The following is an 18,742-nucleotide window of genomic DNA, read 5'->3' on the forward strand; positions in this document are numbered from 1 at the left end:
TAGACAACACATAAAGAAATACATTTATGACTAAAAAGTAACATCCTATTTAAAAAATTTAGGTCAGTATATTAAAACTTAGATTCTTCTAAAATTAAAGAAAACTGAATGTAAGTACATATAGCTCAGTTTTGAATCATTCTTCACAATAAGAATATTATGCCATACCTATGCATGTCAGCCAGTCTGGACAGTACACGAGCAGCATTACTGAAACTTCTGTTCTTCTCGTAATACCGCCAGAGTAAATCCATATAACGAACTCTGTTTTGATCAACTTTGGCCATTCGGACTAGATGTGGCTCCAGAAATGGAGAAGCAACCTAGAAATTATATAGTTATTCAGAAAAATTTTCTAACCACCTACAGATAATGTTCCTGATAAGGAAAATATAGTATTTTTAAGTCAACTACAACTTTGCCTTGTTTTATGAAAACAAGCAAAATTATAATCCAATACTAACAGATAAAAGAGAGGGCAAATTTTCTTATTATAAACAATTTTTGTTTTACCACAGTTAGCATAAGAGTTTCCAAAACAATTCTATTAGGTTGATAACAATAATTTAGTAGGCTGGGCATGGCGACTCATGTCTGTAATCCTCGCACTTTGGGAGGCCGAGGTGGGCAGATCATGTGAGCTCAGGAGTTTGAGACCAGCCTGGGCAATATATGGCAAAACCTCGTCTCTACAAAAAAATTAGCTGGGTGTGGTGGTGCGGGCCTATAGTTCTAGTTACTCAGGAGGGTTAGGTGTGAGGATCACCTGAGCCTAGGGAGGTCAAGGCTACAGTGAGCCATTATCGTGCCATTGCACTGCACTTCAGCCTAAGCTACAGATTGAGACCCTGCCTCAAAAAAGAAAAGGAAATTTGGCCGGGCACAGTGGTTCATGCCTGTAATCCCAGCACTTCGGGAAGCTGAGGTGGGCAGATCACCTGAGCTCAGGAGTTTGAGACCAGCCTGGCCAACATGGTAAAACCCCGTCTCTACTAAAAAGATATAAAAATTAGCTGTGCGTGGTGGCGGGTGCCTGTAATCCCAGCTACTTGGGAGGCTGAAGCAGGAGGATTGCTGGAACCCGGGAGGCGGAGGTTGCAGTGAGCTGAGATCATGCCACTGCACTCCAGCCTGGGCAACAGAGCCAGACTCCATCTCAAAAAAAAAAAAAAAAAAAAAAAAGGGAAATTTACTATAAAATTACAAATTTTTAAATAAACTTTGATAACACAGCTATTGATTCCTAGACATTGAGCTCAAAGGCATTATTGAAATTATCAAATGCTATGTATTCATTAAACAGATTGAGGAACACTGAAACTTAGGGTAGGTAAAAGGACATATCTGAAGTCACAGTGACTTAACAGCAGAGTTAAGATAAGATGACCTACAGGACTCATATTCATAATCCAGTGATTTCTACCCCGCAATACAAACTATCCCAATCAGCTTCGAATTAACAAGAAAATTGGAGCAGTAGCCTACTTTGCCCCTTAGGAAAAGATACTGCATTACTCAGCTTTATACTAACATCTAATAGCAGGCATGGGATGAGAAACTGAATTTTTTACATCTATATATGTGCTTAAATCATTGAGTTATGCTCCTTAAGAATAATTAACACAACTGCAATAAAAAAAGATTTACCTGTAGCAGCTTATCTGCAAGGTCGACTTGTATTAGCCAATTATAAAGGGCAATACTAAAGAGCTCATCCTTGGATCGCTGTGACAATTTAAGCATTTGTTCAAACTAAAATAAAGAAAATAGTAAAAATTAGCAGTTAAAGGCTCTGTTTCTGGGCATCACAACCCTTTAGCCCTATAAACTCCAGTAAGAAATCAAGAATCCTTACATGATAACTTCTAAGAACTACCACCTTTCCCCAAGATGACTGTGCTACCATTACCATGGAGAACTTCTAAACAGTGTATTCTCAGAATGAAAATATACTATGTCCCTTACATGATGTCCTGCTTCTTCATTACTCAGCATATTTGGATCAGATGACAACACTGGAGGACCAGGTTTTTTGGGTACACTGGGAGACTGAGGAGCGGCCTTACTTTGATTTACCAGTTCTTGAAGTGTGTCTGTAATGCATTTGTAACTGTTTAATCTGAAAGAAAATGGAAAAGGAACAATTACATTATTTAACTAGAAAGCAAATGATGGTAAGTGTGGTGACTCACGCCTGTAATGCCAGCCATAGGGAAGTCAAGGTAGGAGGACGGCTTGAGGCTGGGAGTTCAAGACTAGCCAGGGCAACAGAGCGGGACCACGTCTCTACAAAAAATACAAAAAAATTGGCTGGGCACAGTGCCTCACACCTGTAATCCCAGCACTCTGGGAGACGAAGGCAGGGGGACTGCCAGAGGTCACGAATTTGAGACCAGCCTGGCCAACCTGGTGAAACCCCGTATCTGACAAAAATACAAAAATTAGCCGGGCTTGGTGGTGCATGCCTGTAGTGCCAGCTATTCAGGTGAGTGAGGCACAAGAATTGCTTGAACCTGGGAGGCAGAGGTTGAGGTGAGCTGAGATCATGCCACTGCACTCCATCCTGGGTGACAGCAAGACCCTGTCTCAAAAAACAAACGAACAAAAAACAAAACAAAACGAAACAAAAAATTAACCAGGCGTGGCGGTGTGCACCTGTAATCCCAGCTACTTGGGAGGCAGAGGCAGGAGGATCGCTTGAGCCTAGGAATTCAAGGCTGCAAGTGAGCTATTATCATGCCACTGCACTCCAGCTCAGGCAACAGAATGAGGCCCTGTCTCAAAAACAAAAAACAAAACCCCCCAAAAACAAAACAAAACAAATAACAAAAAAGAAAGCCATTGATTTACCTTACCTAAGTATATACAAGGATTTCAAGACTATTTGGCAGAATAGATGTACATATTTGGCATTTAAAATAATACAAACCATATACTTTTTCAATAAGTTTGAGAAGTGTTTGGTTAAACATTAAAAGGGTAAAGTCATTAAATATAGTAATAAAAAAATATGTTTTCGCCAGATGTGGTGGCTGACACCTCTAATCTCAGCACTTTGGGAGGCTGAGAAGAAAGGATTGCTTGAGCCCAGGAGTTAAAGACCAGCCTGGGCAATATAGTGAGGCCCTGTCTCTACAGAAATTAAAGAGAAAAAAAAAATTAGCCGAGTGTGGTGACATGTGCCTGTAGTCCCAGCTACTCAGGAGGCTGAGGTAGGAGGATCACTGGATCACTTGAGCCCAAAAGGTCAAGAGTACAGTGAGCTATGATGGTGCCACTGACTCCAGCCCAGGAGACAGAGTGAAGCTTTGTCTCAAAAACAAAAACAAAAACAAAACAAAACACCCTCCATATATATATGTTATAGAAAGGTTATATATTTCTTCTTTGTTCCGAGACGGAGCCCTGCTCTGACGCCCAGGCTGGAGTTCTGTGGTGCAATCTCAGCTCACTGCAGCCTCTGCCTCCCGGGTTAAAGCAATTCTCCTGCCTCAGCCTCCCAAGTTGCTGGGATTACGGGTGTGCACCACCACGCCTGGCTAATTTTTGTATTTTAGTAGAGACAGGGTTTCACTATGATGGCCAGGCTGGTCTCGAACTCCTGACCTCATGATCTGCCCACCTCAGCCTCCCAAAGTGCTGGGATTACAGGCGTGAGCCACTGTGCCTGGCCTATATTTCTTTTAAGGACACACATTTCCTTTTTAACAGTCTCAACAAATTTGGGAATACTTAAAAATTATCCTTTAAAATGAAATCCTACTGGACATGGTGGCTCATGCCTGTAATCCCAGCACTTTGGGTGGTCGACCTTTACACAAAGAGGCCAGACACGGTGGCTGATGGCTATAATCCTAGCACTTTGCAAGACTGAGGTGGGTGGATCACTTGAGGTTAGGAATTCAAGACCAGCCTGGCCAAAATGGTGAAACCCTGTCTCTACTAAAAATACAAAAATTAGCCAGGCGTGGTGGTGTGCACCTGTAATCCCAGCTACATGGGAGGCTGAGGCACGAGAATAGCTTGAACCTGGGAGGCAGAGATTGCAGTGAGCCAAGATCACACGACTGCACTCCAGCCCAGGTGACAGAGCAAGACTCTGTCTCAAAAAAAAAAAAAAAACATAAAACAAAAAACAAAAAACATTATGCAAAGAAAAGTCTGTATCCATAAAGATGACAATCTGCTAACGTAATGGAATGCACCTTTCTTGGAAGGCCTGAAGTCCAACTATGTCTTCTTCTGGTTCTCCATGTTTATAGAAATGAAGCCCAAGACCTTGAGGATCTTTTTTCTCTGCAGCCGTAAGAGAAAGTTCCACCACACCCTCATAAAATCTCACTGATGGGAAAGAAAAGAATGAAGACCTATGACTTACTACTAAGTTGGATACATTTTTCCTTAGCTGGCACATGAAAATAATGATCAAGGTTATGTCTCTACTGTACAATAGTCACCCTGCTAACATAAAATATTTCTGATAGGTCTTCAGAAGGAAAAGGTCTTAATATGCCTAAAAGGCAACTGTTAAATATATTTCTTCATTGGGGGCCAGGTGTGGTGGCTCACGCCTGTAATCCCAGCACTTTGGGAGGCTGAGAGGGGGCAGATCACAAGGTCAGGGGTTCGAGACCAGCCTGACCAACATGGTGAAACCCCACCTCTACTAAAAATACAAAAATTAGCTGGGCCTGGTGGCATGCGCCTGTAATCCCAGCTACTCAAAAGGCTGAGGCAGGAGAATCACTTGAACTAGCGAGGCAGAGGTTGTAGTGAGCTGAGATTGCACCATTGCACTCCAGCCTGGGTGACAGAACAAGACTCTGTCTCACAAAAAAAAAAAGAAAAAGGAAAAAAAAAAATATATATATATATATATTTCTTCATTGGAAAAAAAAGATCCTATTTCAAATAACAAAAAGGAAAGTTTTAGTTCCCTACTGGGGGGAAAAAAATACCTTGGGATTCAAAATAATACCTGTGCAAATAGTTATGGCCTTTACATTATGTTAGATTTGATTTAAAGTAATTTTTTAAAAAGTAAGCAGATTATACCTTAAAACTCAATAAAAAATTTTAAATATCTGAAAAATAAATGTAATCCAGAAAGCAATGTAAAACATACAGTAATTGAACTGGACAAGAACTGAAACTCTAATGCTAAAAAGTTATACATTTCGGCTGGGCGCAGTGGCTCATGTCTGTAATCCTAGCACTTTGAGAGGCTGAGATGGGTGGATCACCTGAGGTCAGGAGATCGAGACCACCCTGGCTAACATGGTAAAACCCCACCTCTACTAAAAATACAAAAATTAGCTGGGCAATGGCCGGGCGCGGTGGCTCACACCTGTAATCCCAGCGCTTTGGGAGGCTGAGGTGGGTGGATCATGAGGTCAGGAGATTGAGACCATCCTGGCTAACATGGTGAAACCCATCTCTACTAAAAATACAAAAAAATTAGCCGGGCATGGTGGCAGGCGCCTGTAGTCCCAGCTACTTGGGAGGCTGAGGCAGAATGGCGTGAACCTGGGAGGCAGAGCTTGCAGTGAGCTGAGATCGCACCACTGCACTTCAGCCTGGGTGACAGAGCAAGACTCTGTCTCAAAATAAAAAAAATAAAAAAATAAAAAAATAAAAAATTAGCTGGGCGTGGTGGCGTGCGCCTGTAATACCAGCTACCCGGGAGGCTGAGGCAGGAGAATTGCTGGAACCTGGGAGGCAGAGGATGCAGTGAGCTGAGATCGTGCCACTGCACTCCAGCCTGGCTGACAGAGCGAGACTCTCAAAAAAAAAAAAAAAAAAAAAAAAAAGTACATTTCAAAAAATAGAAAGAACATTACAGCTTCTGCAGGTCAGTGTAGTCATCAAATATTGCAACACAATGATACCACATTCCTACGTCCTTTCACTCGGCCTCTGATGCTGAAAGAAGATTTGCATCTGGAAAGTGGCTTTTCATCATTAGCTTGCTTCATTCATACACTATTGTTTGTCTTTTGAGTTGAGTAAAAGATACAAGAAACATTTTATTTCTCACCTTGTCTATACTGAGCACAAACATTGGAAAGGTCCACTTGATTGCTAATTTTTTGATATTCCTTTAATGATTCCCTTAACATTCTTTCTTTTTCAGTCTTATTTTGAACTTGTCGGGAACGCTGGAGAAGCTCATTTGCCTAGAAGAGGAGATAACAAGAACTTAAAAATATATAAAATCAAGCAGACAGATGATGCTGTCAACTAAGTTTTAGTCTATGTCTAAATTTATATATGGTTATTACCATTAAAATGAAAACAACTCTACAAACTTACTTCTTAATTTTAGGCAGAAAAGTTTTTGACCAAAGATTCCTAGCTATTCTTAATTCCTCTCCCAAATATGTTAAGCAAGAGAACTTTTGTCTGGTAATTCTCTTGCCTAGTCAATACATTATTGGGCAGCAGGCAGTCCATGTGACACTGATTTATTTATTTTTTCCACCTGTAGGAAAGGATCAATAAAAATGCCCCCATTAACTCTAATTCACTAAAAGATTTACTTGAAGTTTTAGTACTTTTCCTTAAGCTAAGGAGATAAATTATCCCCTAAATTTCCTTAATTTCTAAATTTAGTGATTTTTCTTAATTTCTCACCTTTGGTTTTTTAATATGGCCTAGAAACACTATCAAAGATTCTTTATGGGCCAGGCGCAGAGGCTCATGTCTATAATCCCAACACTTTGCAAGGCTGAGGCAGGCGGAGGTCAGGAGTTCAAAACCAGCCTAGACAACATGGTGAAATCCTGTCTCTACCAAAAATATAAAAAATTAGCCAGGTGTGATGGTGCACACCTGTAATCCCAGCTATTTGGGAGGCCGAGGCAGGAGAATCACTTGAACCTGGGAGGTGGAGGTTGCAGTGAGCTGAGATCGTACTCAGTCTTAAAAAAAAAGAGAGAATATTCTTTATGAAAAACTTAAAGGAGGGCTGGGCATGGTGGCTCACACTTATAATCCCAGCACTATGGGAGGCTGAGGCAGGAGGATCACTTGAAGCCAAGAGTTCAAGACCAGCCTGTGCAACAAATCAGAACTTGTCTCTATAAAAAACAAAAAAATTGGCTGGGTGTAGTGGTGCACACCCGTAGCCCCTAGCTACATGAGAGGCCTGCTTGAGTCTAGGACTTAGAAGCTGCTGTGAGCTATGATCACAGCACTGCACTACAGCCTAAGCAACAGAGTGAAACCCTGTGTCAAATAAATAAATAAAAATATTTTTAAAAAGAAAAGCTAAGCTTAAAAGAGTATACACTGGTTTTAAGAAGCCACATATTCCAACCCCTTTCTTAGATGAGGATTCTGAGGCTAGGAGAGGTTAAGAGATCTAACTGACTGAGGTCCTATATTAAGTGAAACAAGATGGTTCATCATACATGATACCTCTTATAACAAACAATGAAATAGGTAATAAAGTATCATACCTTAGAACAAATTGCATCATCAGTGCTATATAGAAGTGGGCAGATATCCTGTAAATGTAAACTAATGCCATCAACAGCGGCATTATCTCTGATGTAGCAGTTGATAAGAGAAGCAATTAATGCCCCTGTGAGTTCTTTGTCCCTGATTACAAGATCTTTAAAGGTGGTGATCTTCAGCTGCTCTTGAAGTTCCTAGGAGCATAAAACTTTTCTATCACAATTATAGAAATACCATATTTCTAAACATAATGAAATTATTTTAATAAATTAAAATAACCTAAATATTAATAGACTCTATAATTGAAAAGCGAAAATATACTAATTAGTAGAAACAAATTTTTGCGAACTTACATAAAATCATAGAGAGTTGGAAAAGAACCTACAGTAGATCTAGTCCAAAACTCTCACTTTCCAAATGAGAAAAGTAAAGCTTAAGTAGAGCCAAAACTAGAGTCAGATCTCCTGGCTTTGGTTATAAAATGGAAAAAACAATCACTTGGCTATATTTGAAAATCTTGGGCTTACATATTACTCCTTCCTAAACACTGTTAGAATTCCATTATTCTAGGCCTTATAATAATATTGGAGTTTAATCTGTATTGTGAACAAATCTGCTTGTCCAAATGAAGCTCTAAAGTATTGATTTATACTATAGTAAAAGATTCTGTTAGTGATGTGACTGCTATCTCTTTTTTCTAAATTCAAGGAAATACCCAAACTGTGTTAAAATTCTTGAACAAATCTTTAATTTGCATTCATTGAGCATGCCATTGGTGATGTAAGGAAGAGAGCTTTGAAGATGGATCACAAAAACATACCCAGGATAAAAACCTACCTACAATATATTTATCACTCTATAAAACTCAAAATTATTATTCTACTTGGTATGAAAAAGATAAGTTTCATAATTAAATATATTAGCTTGAATTTTTAAAAATAAAAAACAGTATGTATTTAAAAGAAACAAAACCACCAACAAAAGCCACACTATTCATTGGACACTAGTGGAAAGAATGAGGAGACTGCCTTCCAACGTTGAAAAATGGTATACGAGAGTCAAAAAGTAAGTGTTTCAGAGTAATGAAATATCCATACAGGACAAGGAAAAAGAATTTTTTTTTTTTTTTTTACAGAATTGCAGCTAGTAACTGGGGAAGGAATCACAGATTTAAAATATTATCCTTTTGGCCGGGCATGGTGGCTCATGCCTGTAATCCCAGCACTTTGGGAGGCCAAGGCAGGTAGATCACCTGACGTCAGGAGTTCAACACCAGCCTGGCCAACATGGCGAAACCCGGTCTCTTACTAAAACTACAAAAATCAGCCAGGCGTTGTGGCACATGCCTGTAGTCCCAGCTACTCGGGAAGCTGAGGCAGGAGAACTGCTTGTACCCGGGAGGTGGAGGTTACAGTGATCTCAGATTGCTCCACAGCACTCCAGCCTGGGTGACAGAATGAGACACTGTCTCAAAAAAAATAAAAAACAAACAAACAAATAAATAAATATTACCCTTTTGTAATCCTAAATGAAATAATAAATTCCAGCAATGATTATCAATGGATGATTAAAATCTGATGGAGAATTCCACAATGGCAGTATTAGGCTTACTACTTGAATCCAGCAATTTATCTTAGTATAACTAAAAGAAGGACAACGAAACCTTTTGTATCTTCTAACAGTCTGATGAATAAACCACTACCTATGAAGTATTCTATTCTTCCTCAAAAAAGGACCTGAACTGAATCAAGCCTATATAATAAACTTTCATTTTATAGAAAATGCAGGAGATAGAGGAAGAAGCTCGCTACAAAGAGGATTAAAAAAAAAAAAGCCTTAGAATGTCCTTAGAATGCTGGACATTCTACTGGATGGATGACTGGATTTCTACAAGGCAACAGCAAGGAAAAGAAAAAGAAGGAAAGACTGCTTTAGACTGAAACAGATGAAAGAGAAAAACAAATTCCATGAGCAAACCCCTTAAACTGTTTAGATCCTGATTTGAATGAACCAATCTGTAAAAAGACATTTTTAAGACAGATTTTGCTATCAAATATTGACAGTTAATATTGGTAACTATCCAGCCTAGGAGATACGGTGAAACCCCATCTCCACAAAAAAATACAAAAATTAGCTAGGCGTAGTGGTGCGTGCCTATAGTACCAGCTACTCGGGAGGCTAAAGTAGGAGAATCACTGGAGTCCAGAGAGGTCAAGGGTGCAGTGAGCCGTGATCATGCCACTGCACTCCAGCCTGGGTGACAGAGCGAGACACTGTCTCAAGAAAAACTGGTAACTGATCATGACATTGTTGTTGTTCAAGGAACTGTCTATTTTTTTTAGAAACACAGTATCTTGAAAATGCTGAATGAGTCAAATGTATATGGGAGTTACAGTTTTTGCTCTACTTTTGTATACGTTTAGAAATGCTCACAATTAAATAAAAGGTAGGAATAAATTTCCTCTATATATTCTATCTAACATTTAGATTAATGTTGATTATCCTTATCCTTAGAAAGGATTCAAATGTGAACATCAAAAGAAATATGAACCATTTATTTCCTACAGTGATAAATATCTTCCTTTAAAGTAGGAGCAGTTGCCGGGCATGGTGGGTCACGTCTGTAATCCTAGCATTTTGGGTGGCTGAGGCGGGTGGATTACCTGAGCTCAGGAGTTCGAGATCACCCTGGGCAACACGGTGAAACCCCGTCTCTACTAAAATACAAAAAATTAGCTGGGCGTGGTGGCATGCACCTGTAATCCCAGCTACTCAGGAGGCTGAGGCAGGAGAATTGCTAGAACCCGGGAGGTGGAGGTTGCAGCGAGCCGAGATTGCACAACTGCAGCCTGGGCGACAGAGTGAGACTCCATCTCTTAAAAAAAAAAAAAAGAAAACATAAAATGAAGTAGGAGTGGTGTATATGTGTGTGTGTGTGTGTGTGTGTGTGTGTGTGAGAGAGACAGAGAGAGACAGGGTCTCACTCTGTCACCCAGGCTGGGGTGCAGTGGCACCATCATGGCTAAGTGGCGCCTCAACCTCCCAGGCTCAAGTGCTCCTCCCACTTCAGCCTCCCAAGTAGCTGGGACTACAGGCATGTGCCACCACACTTGACTAATTTATTTTTTATTTTTAGTAGAGATGGGTCCTGACATCTTGCCCAGGATAGTCTTGAATTCCTAGGCTCAAGTGATCCTCCTGCCTCAGCCTACCAAAGTGTTGGGATCACAGGCGTGAGGCATGGTGCCCAGTCAAGAGTATTTAATTTAGGTTGTTGGGCCCTTTGAAATTATAAGCAAAAGTCTGTGTGTCCATGTCGATATGCATTTCTTTAAGGGTAGTGAGAGATAGCTTTTATCAGATTCTCAGAAGAACCTGTAGCTCAAATAAAGGGTAAAGTCCACTGTTTTAAAAAATATGTTTTGTAAAGTATGACTTCATTCACATACCCACAAGTAAAAACTTGCGGCTTTGAAAAAATAGGTCCCCCAAGTTGGTACGCTTTTTTTGTGCCATCTTCCCATAACATACTAACTTCATCATAACTTAAATGCTTCCCAAAATAATCCCCTCCAAAGCCAAAATACTCATCCAAAAAATCCAAACATAGTATTAATGGTATAATCATAAAAAAATAAAAAAAATTACCTTCTGAAGTTCTGCCACAATGATAGTGAATTGATGTTCACAAAGAAGTTTCCATAAAGCCAGAGCCTGATATGATTTTCGAACCAACTGCTGAATTGCCTGAAGTGAAATCTTTTCACTTAGTTGAGCCTCTAATGAGAAAACAAAATAAATTATTATAAAATAACATAGGTTAAGTTGCTTTATTTCAAATAAAAACTGTAGTTAAGGTTGAAATCCCTGTTGTTTTCTTCCTAGCCCCCATTACAGGCAACCATGATAATCAGTAGTATTTATGTTATTATCTTCTCCGTGTGTGTATATATATATGCTTCTGTGTTTGTGTAGGTACACATAAACCATGAAAATATTGCTGTGTGGCTGGGCGCGGTGGCTCACGCCTGTAATCCCAGCACTTTGGGAGGCCGAGGCAGGTGGATCATGAGGTCAGGAGATCGAGACCGTCCTGGCTAACACGGTAAAACTCGGTCTCTACTAAAAACATAAAAAATTAGCTGGTGGGGGGGATGGCGGGTGCCTGTAGTCCCAGCTACTTGGGAGGCTGAGGCAGGAGAATGGCGTGAACCCAGGAGGCGGAGCCTGGGCGACAGAGCAAGACTCCATCTCCAAAAAAATAAAAGAGAGACAAAAAATTTAAAAGATAGTAAAAAAGAATTTACAAAATGATGAATAGAAACCTAGGGTCCTCAGTAGGGAAGAAAGTAACTTGGGACAAAAGTAAATGGTTGAGTGTTAACTGAGAAAGTTCTACTGGCCAGGCGTGGTGGCTCACGCAAGTAATCCCAGCACTTTGGGAGGCCGAGTTGGGCGGATCACCTGAGGTCATGAGTTCAAGACCGGCCTGGCCAAAGTGGCAAAACCTCATCTCTACTGAAAACACAAAAACTAGATGGGTGTGGTGGCACACGCCTGTGATCCCAGCTACTTGAGAGGCTGAGGCAGGAGAATCGCTTGGACCTGGGAGGTAGAGGTTGCAGTAAGCCAAGATTGTGCCAATGCACTCCAGCCTCGGCGAAAAAGCGAGACTCCATCTCAAAACAAACAAACCAGAAAGTTCTATCACGGCCAGAAAAAGTAACTCTAACCCTAACAATGGAAGGCAAAAGAACTTAGAAAAAATTAAATGGCACAAAAAGTTCATGCAATAACTTATTATTGTTCTAACTTGTATCTGGAATAACTGAAGATTATGAGAACTTTTCAGTTGCCTTGCTCTTTCCTTACTTGTTACTACTTATAATTGATAAAAAGCACAATGAAATATTTGATTCATATTTTTAGCTCTATAAAAAGGCATATTACTAATCATTAGGGAAATGCAAATCAAAATCCCAATGAGATGCCATTCCATGTTCATTAGGATGGCTATATATAAAAGGACAGAAAAATGACAAATGTTGGCAAAGATGTGAAGAAATTGGAACCCTTGTGCATTGCTACTAGAAGTATAAAATGCTGTGGCTGGCCAGGCGCAGTGGCTCACGCCTGTAATCCTACCACTTTGGGAGGCCGAAGTGGGTGGATCACCTGAGGTCAGGAGTTCAAGACCAGCCTGGCCAACATGGTGAAACCCCAACTATACTAAAAATAAAAAAATTAGCTGGGTGTGGTGACACATGCCTGTAACCACAGCTACTCGGGAGGCTGAGGCAGAATTGCTTGAACCTGGGAGGTGGAGGCTGCAGTGAGCTGAGATCGCACCATTGCACTCCAGCCTGGGAGACAAGAGTGAAACTCCGTCTCAAAAAGAAATAAAGATAAACATAAACATAAAATGCAGTAGCTGCTATGAAACAGTATGGCAGTTCATCAAAAAAATTAGTAATAGAATTACCATATGATATAGCAATTCCACTTCTGGGTATATACCCAAAAGAACTGAAAGCAGAGGCTTTAATTTGTATTTGTTCACCCATGTTAATAGCAGCATTATTCACGATAGCCAAAAAACGGAAGTAACTCAGTGTCCATCAACAGATGAATGGATAAAGGAAATGTGGTATATGTGCACATATGCACATATACACAATAGAAATTACTCAGTCTTAAAAAGGAAGGAAATTCTGACACGTTACAACATGGATGAACCTCGAGGACAGTATGCTAAGTGACATAAGCCTGCCACAAAATGTAAAATTTGATTTCATCCTAATAGGGTACCCAGAGTTGTAAAATTCAAGAGACAGAAAGTAGAATGGTGGTTGCCAGGGACCTAGGATAGGGGAAAAAAATGGGGGGTTATTATTTCATGGGTACAGAGTGACTTTTGGTGTTTATTTTTTTTAAGACAGAGTCTTGCTCTTGTTGCCCAGGCTAGGGTGCAATGGCACAAATTCGGCTCACTGCAACCTCCGCCTGCTGGGTTCAAGTGATTCTCTTGCCTCGGCCTCCCGAGCAGCTGGGATTACAGGTGCCCGCCACCACGCCTGGCTAATTTTTGTATTTTTGGTAGAGATGGGGTTTCAACATGTTGGCCAGGCTGGTCTTGAACTCCTGACCTCAGGTGATCCACCTGCCATGGCCTCCCAAAGTGCTGGGATTACAGGTGAGAGCCACTGCGCCCAGCCCAGAGTGACATTTTTGGGGAAGATGACAAAAGTTCTGGAGATAGATGCTGGTAATGGGTACATAAAATGAATATACTGAATGCCACTGAACTGTACACTTAAAAACAGTAAAAACGGGCCAGGCGCAGTGGCTCTTGCCTGTAATCCCAGCACTTTGGGAGGCTGAGGTGGGCGGATCATGAGGTCAGGAGATTGAGATCATCCTGCTTAAACACGGTGAAACCCTGTCTCTACTAAAAATACAAAAAAAAAAAATTAGCCAGGTGTGGTGGCGGGCGCCTGTAGTCCCAGCTACTCAGAAGGCTGAGGCAGGAGAATGGAGTGAACCCGGGAGGTGGAGCTTGCAGTGAGCCGAGATCATGCCACTGCACTCCAGCCTGGGCGACAGAGTGAGACTCTGTCTCAAAAAAATAAATAAATAAATAAAATAAAGTAAAAATGGGGCTGGGCACGGTGGCTCACATCTGTAATCCCAGCACTTTGGGAGGCCGAGGCGGACGGGATCACCTGAGGTTGGAAGTTCGAGACCAGCCTGACCAACATAAAGAACCCCGTCTCTTCTGAAAATACAAAATTAGCCGGGCGTGGTGGCACATGCCTCTAATCCCAGCTACTCGGGAGGCTGAGGCAGAAGAATTTCTTGAACCCAGGAGGCAGAGGTTGCAGTGAGCCAAGATCACGCCATTGCACTCCAGCCTGGGAAACAAGAGTGAAACTCTGTCTCAGAAACATAAACAAATAAAAAGTAAAAATGGTAAATTTTATGGTATATATATATTTCACCACAATAAAAAAAACATAATGAAATAGGTGTGTATCATGTTTTCTGGTGGAGGAAGGAACAAAAATGTATATGCTAAAAGAGATAGGGAAATATACAATATCCATATTAATATCCATATTATCCTACTTTCCCAATCACACTTTTTTTTTTTTTTTTTGAGGCAGGTTCTCACTCTGTCACCCAGGCTGGAGTGCAGTGGCATGATCTCAGCTCACTGCAACCTCTGCCTCCCAGGAAGAGGTGATCCTCCCAACTCAGCCTTCCAAAGTGCTGGTATTACAGGTGTGAGCCACCACCCCGGACCCAATTACACTGATATTTTAATTACAAATATTTGTGTACAAAGTACATCTTACTAAGAAAGTCCATTGTTTTCTATTCAAGTAATAAAATTTTACTGAGGTCATGTACGCTTAACTGATGAGAAGCAATAATTTACCATGAAACTTCCTCTGCAGTTCCTGTTGCATTTGCTGGGGATTTCCGTTTTCAGGACGCATGAATCCTATCAGCCTCTGCTGCACTTTAGCAGTAGTACTGAAACAGAAATTGCAGAATGTGTGTGTTTATAACAGCTTTATTGAGATATAACACATACAGTACAATTCAAACATTTAATATGTTTACTTTTTTTAAATAATTCAGAAGGTTGGGCAACCAACACCAGAAGGGCTGATGGCCAGAAAAAATTTATGACACAGACTAAACAGATGCTACTTAAAATGACTGAGATTAAATCAATTAAATGACTGAGAACATCAGCTATAAATTTTCCTAACCTGTAGAAAAAAAAAGATCAAGTAAAAAGAGGGGGTAAAGGAGAGAAAGGAAGGAAGGAAATTACGGAAGAGAAGAAACAAGCTAGATACAAAAGAGTTAATATGATTCTCCAAAGAGAATGGGACAGAAGAAACATAGATTGAGTATCCCTAATAAAAAAAAAAACTAACATCTGAAATGTCCCCAAATCTGAAACGTTTTGCACATCAGCATGATGCTCAAAGGAAATGCGCACTGGAGCAATTTCGATTTCAAATTTTCGGAATGGGGTGCTCAACCTAAGTATAATGCAAATATTTAAAAATCAAAAAAAACGTGAAAGCCAAAACACTTCTGGTTCCAAACAGTTCGGATAAGGGATATTCAATGTGTATCACAATACATAAAAAACGAGAGAAGAAAACTGATCAAAGCCAAGACGTTCATTCTTAAGGCTCACTGAGAGCTGTAAAGAAGATATACCTAAAGACATCATGTGACTTTTGAATTTCGGTAACAAAAAGAAAAAAACACAAAAAAATTTCAAAGTAAACACTAAGTCACTTACAAAGGAAGGAGAATCATACAGATAATGTACTTTTTCATCTACAACATTAAACTTTGGGAAGAAAATGGTGCAAAATGTATACGAAGATCTGAGAAATGGTCTATGATCTTAAAATCCCACATTCATTGGGCAATAAAAACGAACAAAGCATGAATACATCCTACCACATAAATCTCAAACATGAGCCCCCAAAACACACTAAGTGAAAGAAGCCAGACTCAAAGACCACACAGTATGATTCTGTTTATATGACATGTCAAGAATAGGCACATCTACAGAGATAGAGCAGATCAGTAAGTGTCTGGGGCTAAGAAGTGGGAATGGAAAGTGACTGCTAATGGACATGAGGTATGTCTCCTAGATAATGGAAGTGTGCTAAAACTGGACTGTGGTGATGGTTGCACAATTCTATGAATTTACTAAAAGTCACTGAACTGAACATTCAAAATGAGTAAATTTAGTGGTATGTAAAGTAGATCTCAAAAATCTGTTTAAAAAATTTCCATAGTCAATGAAACTAATGTTATAGGAATCCAAGGGTTGGTCGAAATTAGGACATGTATTAACTCTATTGTTAAAGGTAAGGGGGAAAATGATATGATCATCTCTGTAAAATGCAGTAAATACATTTGACAAACTCACTTATTGAATATGGTAAGCATATTCAATATGTTAAATATATGAATATGTTAAACATATTCAATAAGGGCTGAGTGCGGATGGCTCATGCCTAAAATCCCAGCATTTTTTGAGGCCAAGACAGGAGGATCACCTAAGCCCAGGAGTGCAAGATCAACGTGGGCAAAACAGTGAGAACTTGTCTCTACAAAATGTGAAATAAAAAAATTAGCTGAGCATGGTAGCATGTGCCTGTAGTCCCAACTACTCAGGAGGCTGAGGTGGGAGGATCACTTGAAGCTGGGAGGTCAAAGTTGCGGTGAGCCGTGATCATGCCACTGCACTCCGGCCTGGGCAACAGAGTGAGACCAGTCTCAAAAAAGAAAACCAAAAAACACCTCAAGTAAGGGTGGATGCAGTGGGTCATGCCTGTAATCCCAGCACTTTGGGAAGCTAAGGAGGGAGCATAACTTGAGGCCAAGAGTTTTAGACCAGCCTGGGCAACACAGTGAGACCCTATCTCTGAGAAAAATAAGAAAAAATCAGCCAGGTGTGGCAGCACATGCCTGTAGCCCCAGCTACTCAGGCGGCTGAGTCTGAGATTGCAGGGAATAATGATCACATCACTGCACTCCAGCCTCAATGACAGAGCAAGATTGCCTAAAAAAGAAAAAAAAAGAGAAAAGACAGACAGAGATAAGTGGCAGGGCGCAGCGGCTCATGCCTGTAATCCCAGCACTTTGGGAGGCTGAGGCGGGTGGATAACCTGAGGTTGGGAGATTGAGACCAGCCTGACCAACAAGGAGAAACCCCGTCTCTACTAAAAATACAAAATTAGCTGGGCGTGGTGGCTCATGCCTGTAATCCCAGCTACTCAGGAGGCTGAGGCAGGAGCATCGCTTGAACCCGGGAGGCGGAGGTTGCGGTGAGCCGAGGATCATGCCATCGCACTCCAGCCTAGGTAATAAGAGTGAAACTCTGTCTCAATTAAAAAGAAAAAGAGAGAGAGAGAGATTACCTTGTGCAGAGAGGAGAAAGCAAGTAGAGCTAGACAAGAAAAGATGGAAAAGATGAAACTATCTCTGTTTGCAGATGACAGAACTGCTTCTGTGACAATTCAAGAAACATCAATGAAAAAAACATCCTGCTAAAAACTGTAAAGATAAATGAGTAATTAAGAGAAATTAGAAGTAGATTAGAAAATTTACATATAATTGCAGATGTAATGGTAAAATTCAATTAACAAAAGACCATAATGTTAGAAAAAAAACCAAACAAACTAAAAACATCTGACAAGTAAAATTCCAGATAATTTGGAGGGAGAGGGATGGCAGTAGAAGGCAAGGAAACAAAATGTAATAGAGTTTGTTAAATTATTAATGCTGACTGAGATGCATGTCTGTCAGAATTTAAGACTAACAGAGGAAGAAAAATCATATGTAGAACTTCTTAATTGGTGTTTAAGGTAGAGAGAGGCCTGATCAATCCAATACAATAAGGAAATGGGAAAGGGAAGAAAATAAACAAAAAGCACAAATTCAGGATGGGGAGAAAAAAATCAAACATTTAACTAGACCAGATGCAGTGGCTCACTCCTGTAATCCCAGAACTTTGGGAGGCTGAAGGTGGATTATCTGAGGTCAAGAGTTCAAGATCAGCCTTGCCAACATGGCAAAACCCTGTCTCTGCTACAAATAGAAAAATTAGCCAGGCATGGTGGTGTGGGGCTGTAGTCTCAGCTACTTGGAAGGGTGAGGCAGGAGAATCGCTTGAGCCAGGGAGTTGGAGGTTGCAGTGAGCTGAGATTGCACCACTGCATTGCAGCCTGGGCGACAAAGCAAGACTCTGTCTCCAAAAAAACCAAACCAAAACAATAAACCACATTTAACTAATTCCAATAAAATGGGAAGGAGGTAAATTCTCCTGCTTAAAAGATAAAGACAGGCCAGGCGCGGTGGCTCACCCCTGTAATCCCAGCACTTTGGGAGGCTGAGGCGGGCGGAGCACGAAGTCAAGAGATCGAGACCATCCTGGGCAACATGGTGAAACCCCATCTCTACTAAAAATACAAAAATTAGCCAGGCTTGGTGGCACATGCATGTAATCCCAGCTACTCGGGAGGCTGAGGCAGAAGAACTGCTTGAGCCCAGGAGGCAGAGGTTGCAGTGAGCTGAGATTGCACCACTGCACTCCAGCCTGGGCAACAGAGCAAGACTCTGCCTCGGCAGGGGCAGGGGAATATATATATATATGTATACACACACACACACAAAGTATGAATAATGTTATATAAAAGTGTACTTACTTAGACTCTGTTTTTGCTTTTAAAGAAGTGTATAT

At 40.7% G+C, this 18,742-nt stretch overlaps 1 protein-coding gene across 6 annotated transcripts in view; it reads right to left on the bottom strand.

The window, feature by feature from the left end:
• Nucleotides 1-18,742, bottom strand: part of NUP155 (nucleoporin 155) — an 82,970-nt gene that overhangs the window by 14,955 nt on the left and 49,273 nt on the right. For 2 of the 6 annotated variants that reach the window (NM_153485.3, NM_004298.4), the window contains exons 21-28: nt 14,897-14,994; nt 11,107-11,237; nt 7,461-7,652; nt 6,038-6,176; nt 4,206-4,341; nt 1,966-2,119; nt 1,648-1,752; nt 169-323 (exon numbers count right to left, since the gene is read on the bottom strand). In NM_153485.3, coding sequence (NP_705618.1) covers nt 169-323; nt 1,648-1,752; nt 1,966-2,119; nt 4,206-4,341; nt 6,038-6,176; nt 7,461-7,652; nt 11,107-11,237; nt 14,897-14,994 — 1,110 coding nt within the window. Of the gene's footprint in view, nt 1-168; nt 324-1,647; nt 1,753-1,965; nt 2,120-4,205; nt 4,342-6,037; nt 6,177-6,331; nt 6,482-7,460; nt 7,653-11,106; nt 11,238-14,896; nt 14,995-18,742 lie in introns of those variants that run through there. The other 4 variants (NM_001278312.2, XM_047417934.1, XM_011514165.4 and 1 more) reach the window with 4 other exon arrangements.

This window comes from Homo sapiens, chromosome 5 (assembly GCF_000001405.40).
Source record: "Homo sapiens chromosome 5, GRCh38.p14 Primary Assembly".
NCBI classification, from domain to species: domain Eukaryota; kingdom Metazoa; phylum Chordata; class Mammalia; order Primates; family Hominidae; genus Homo; species Homo sapiens.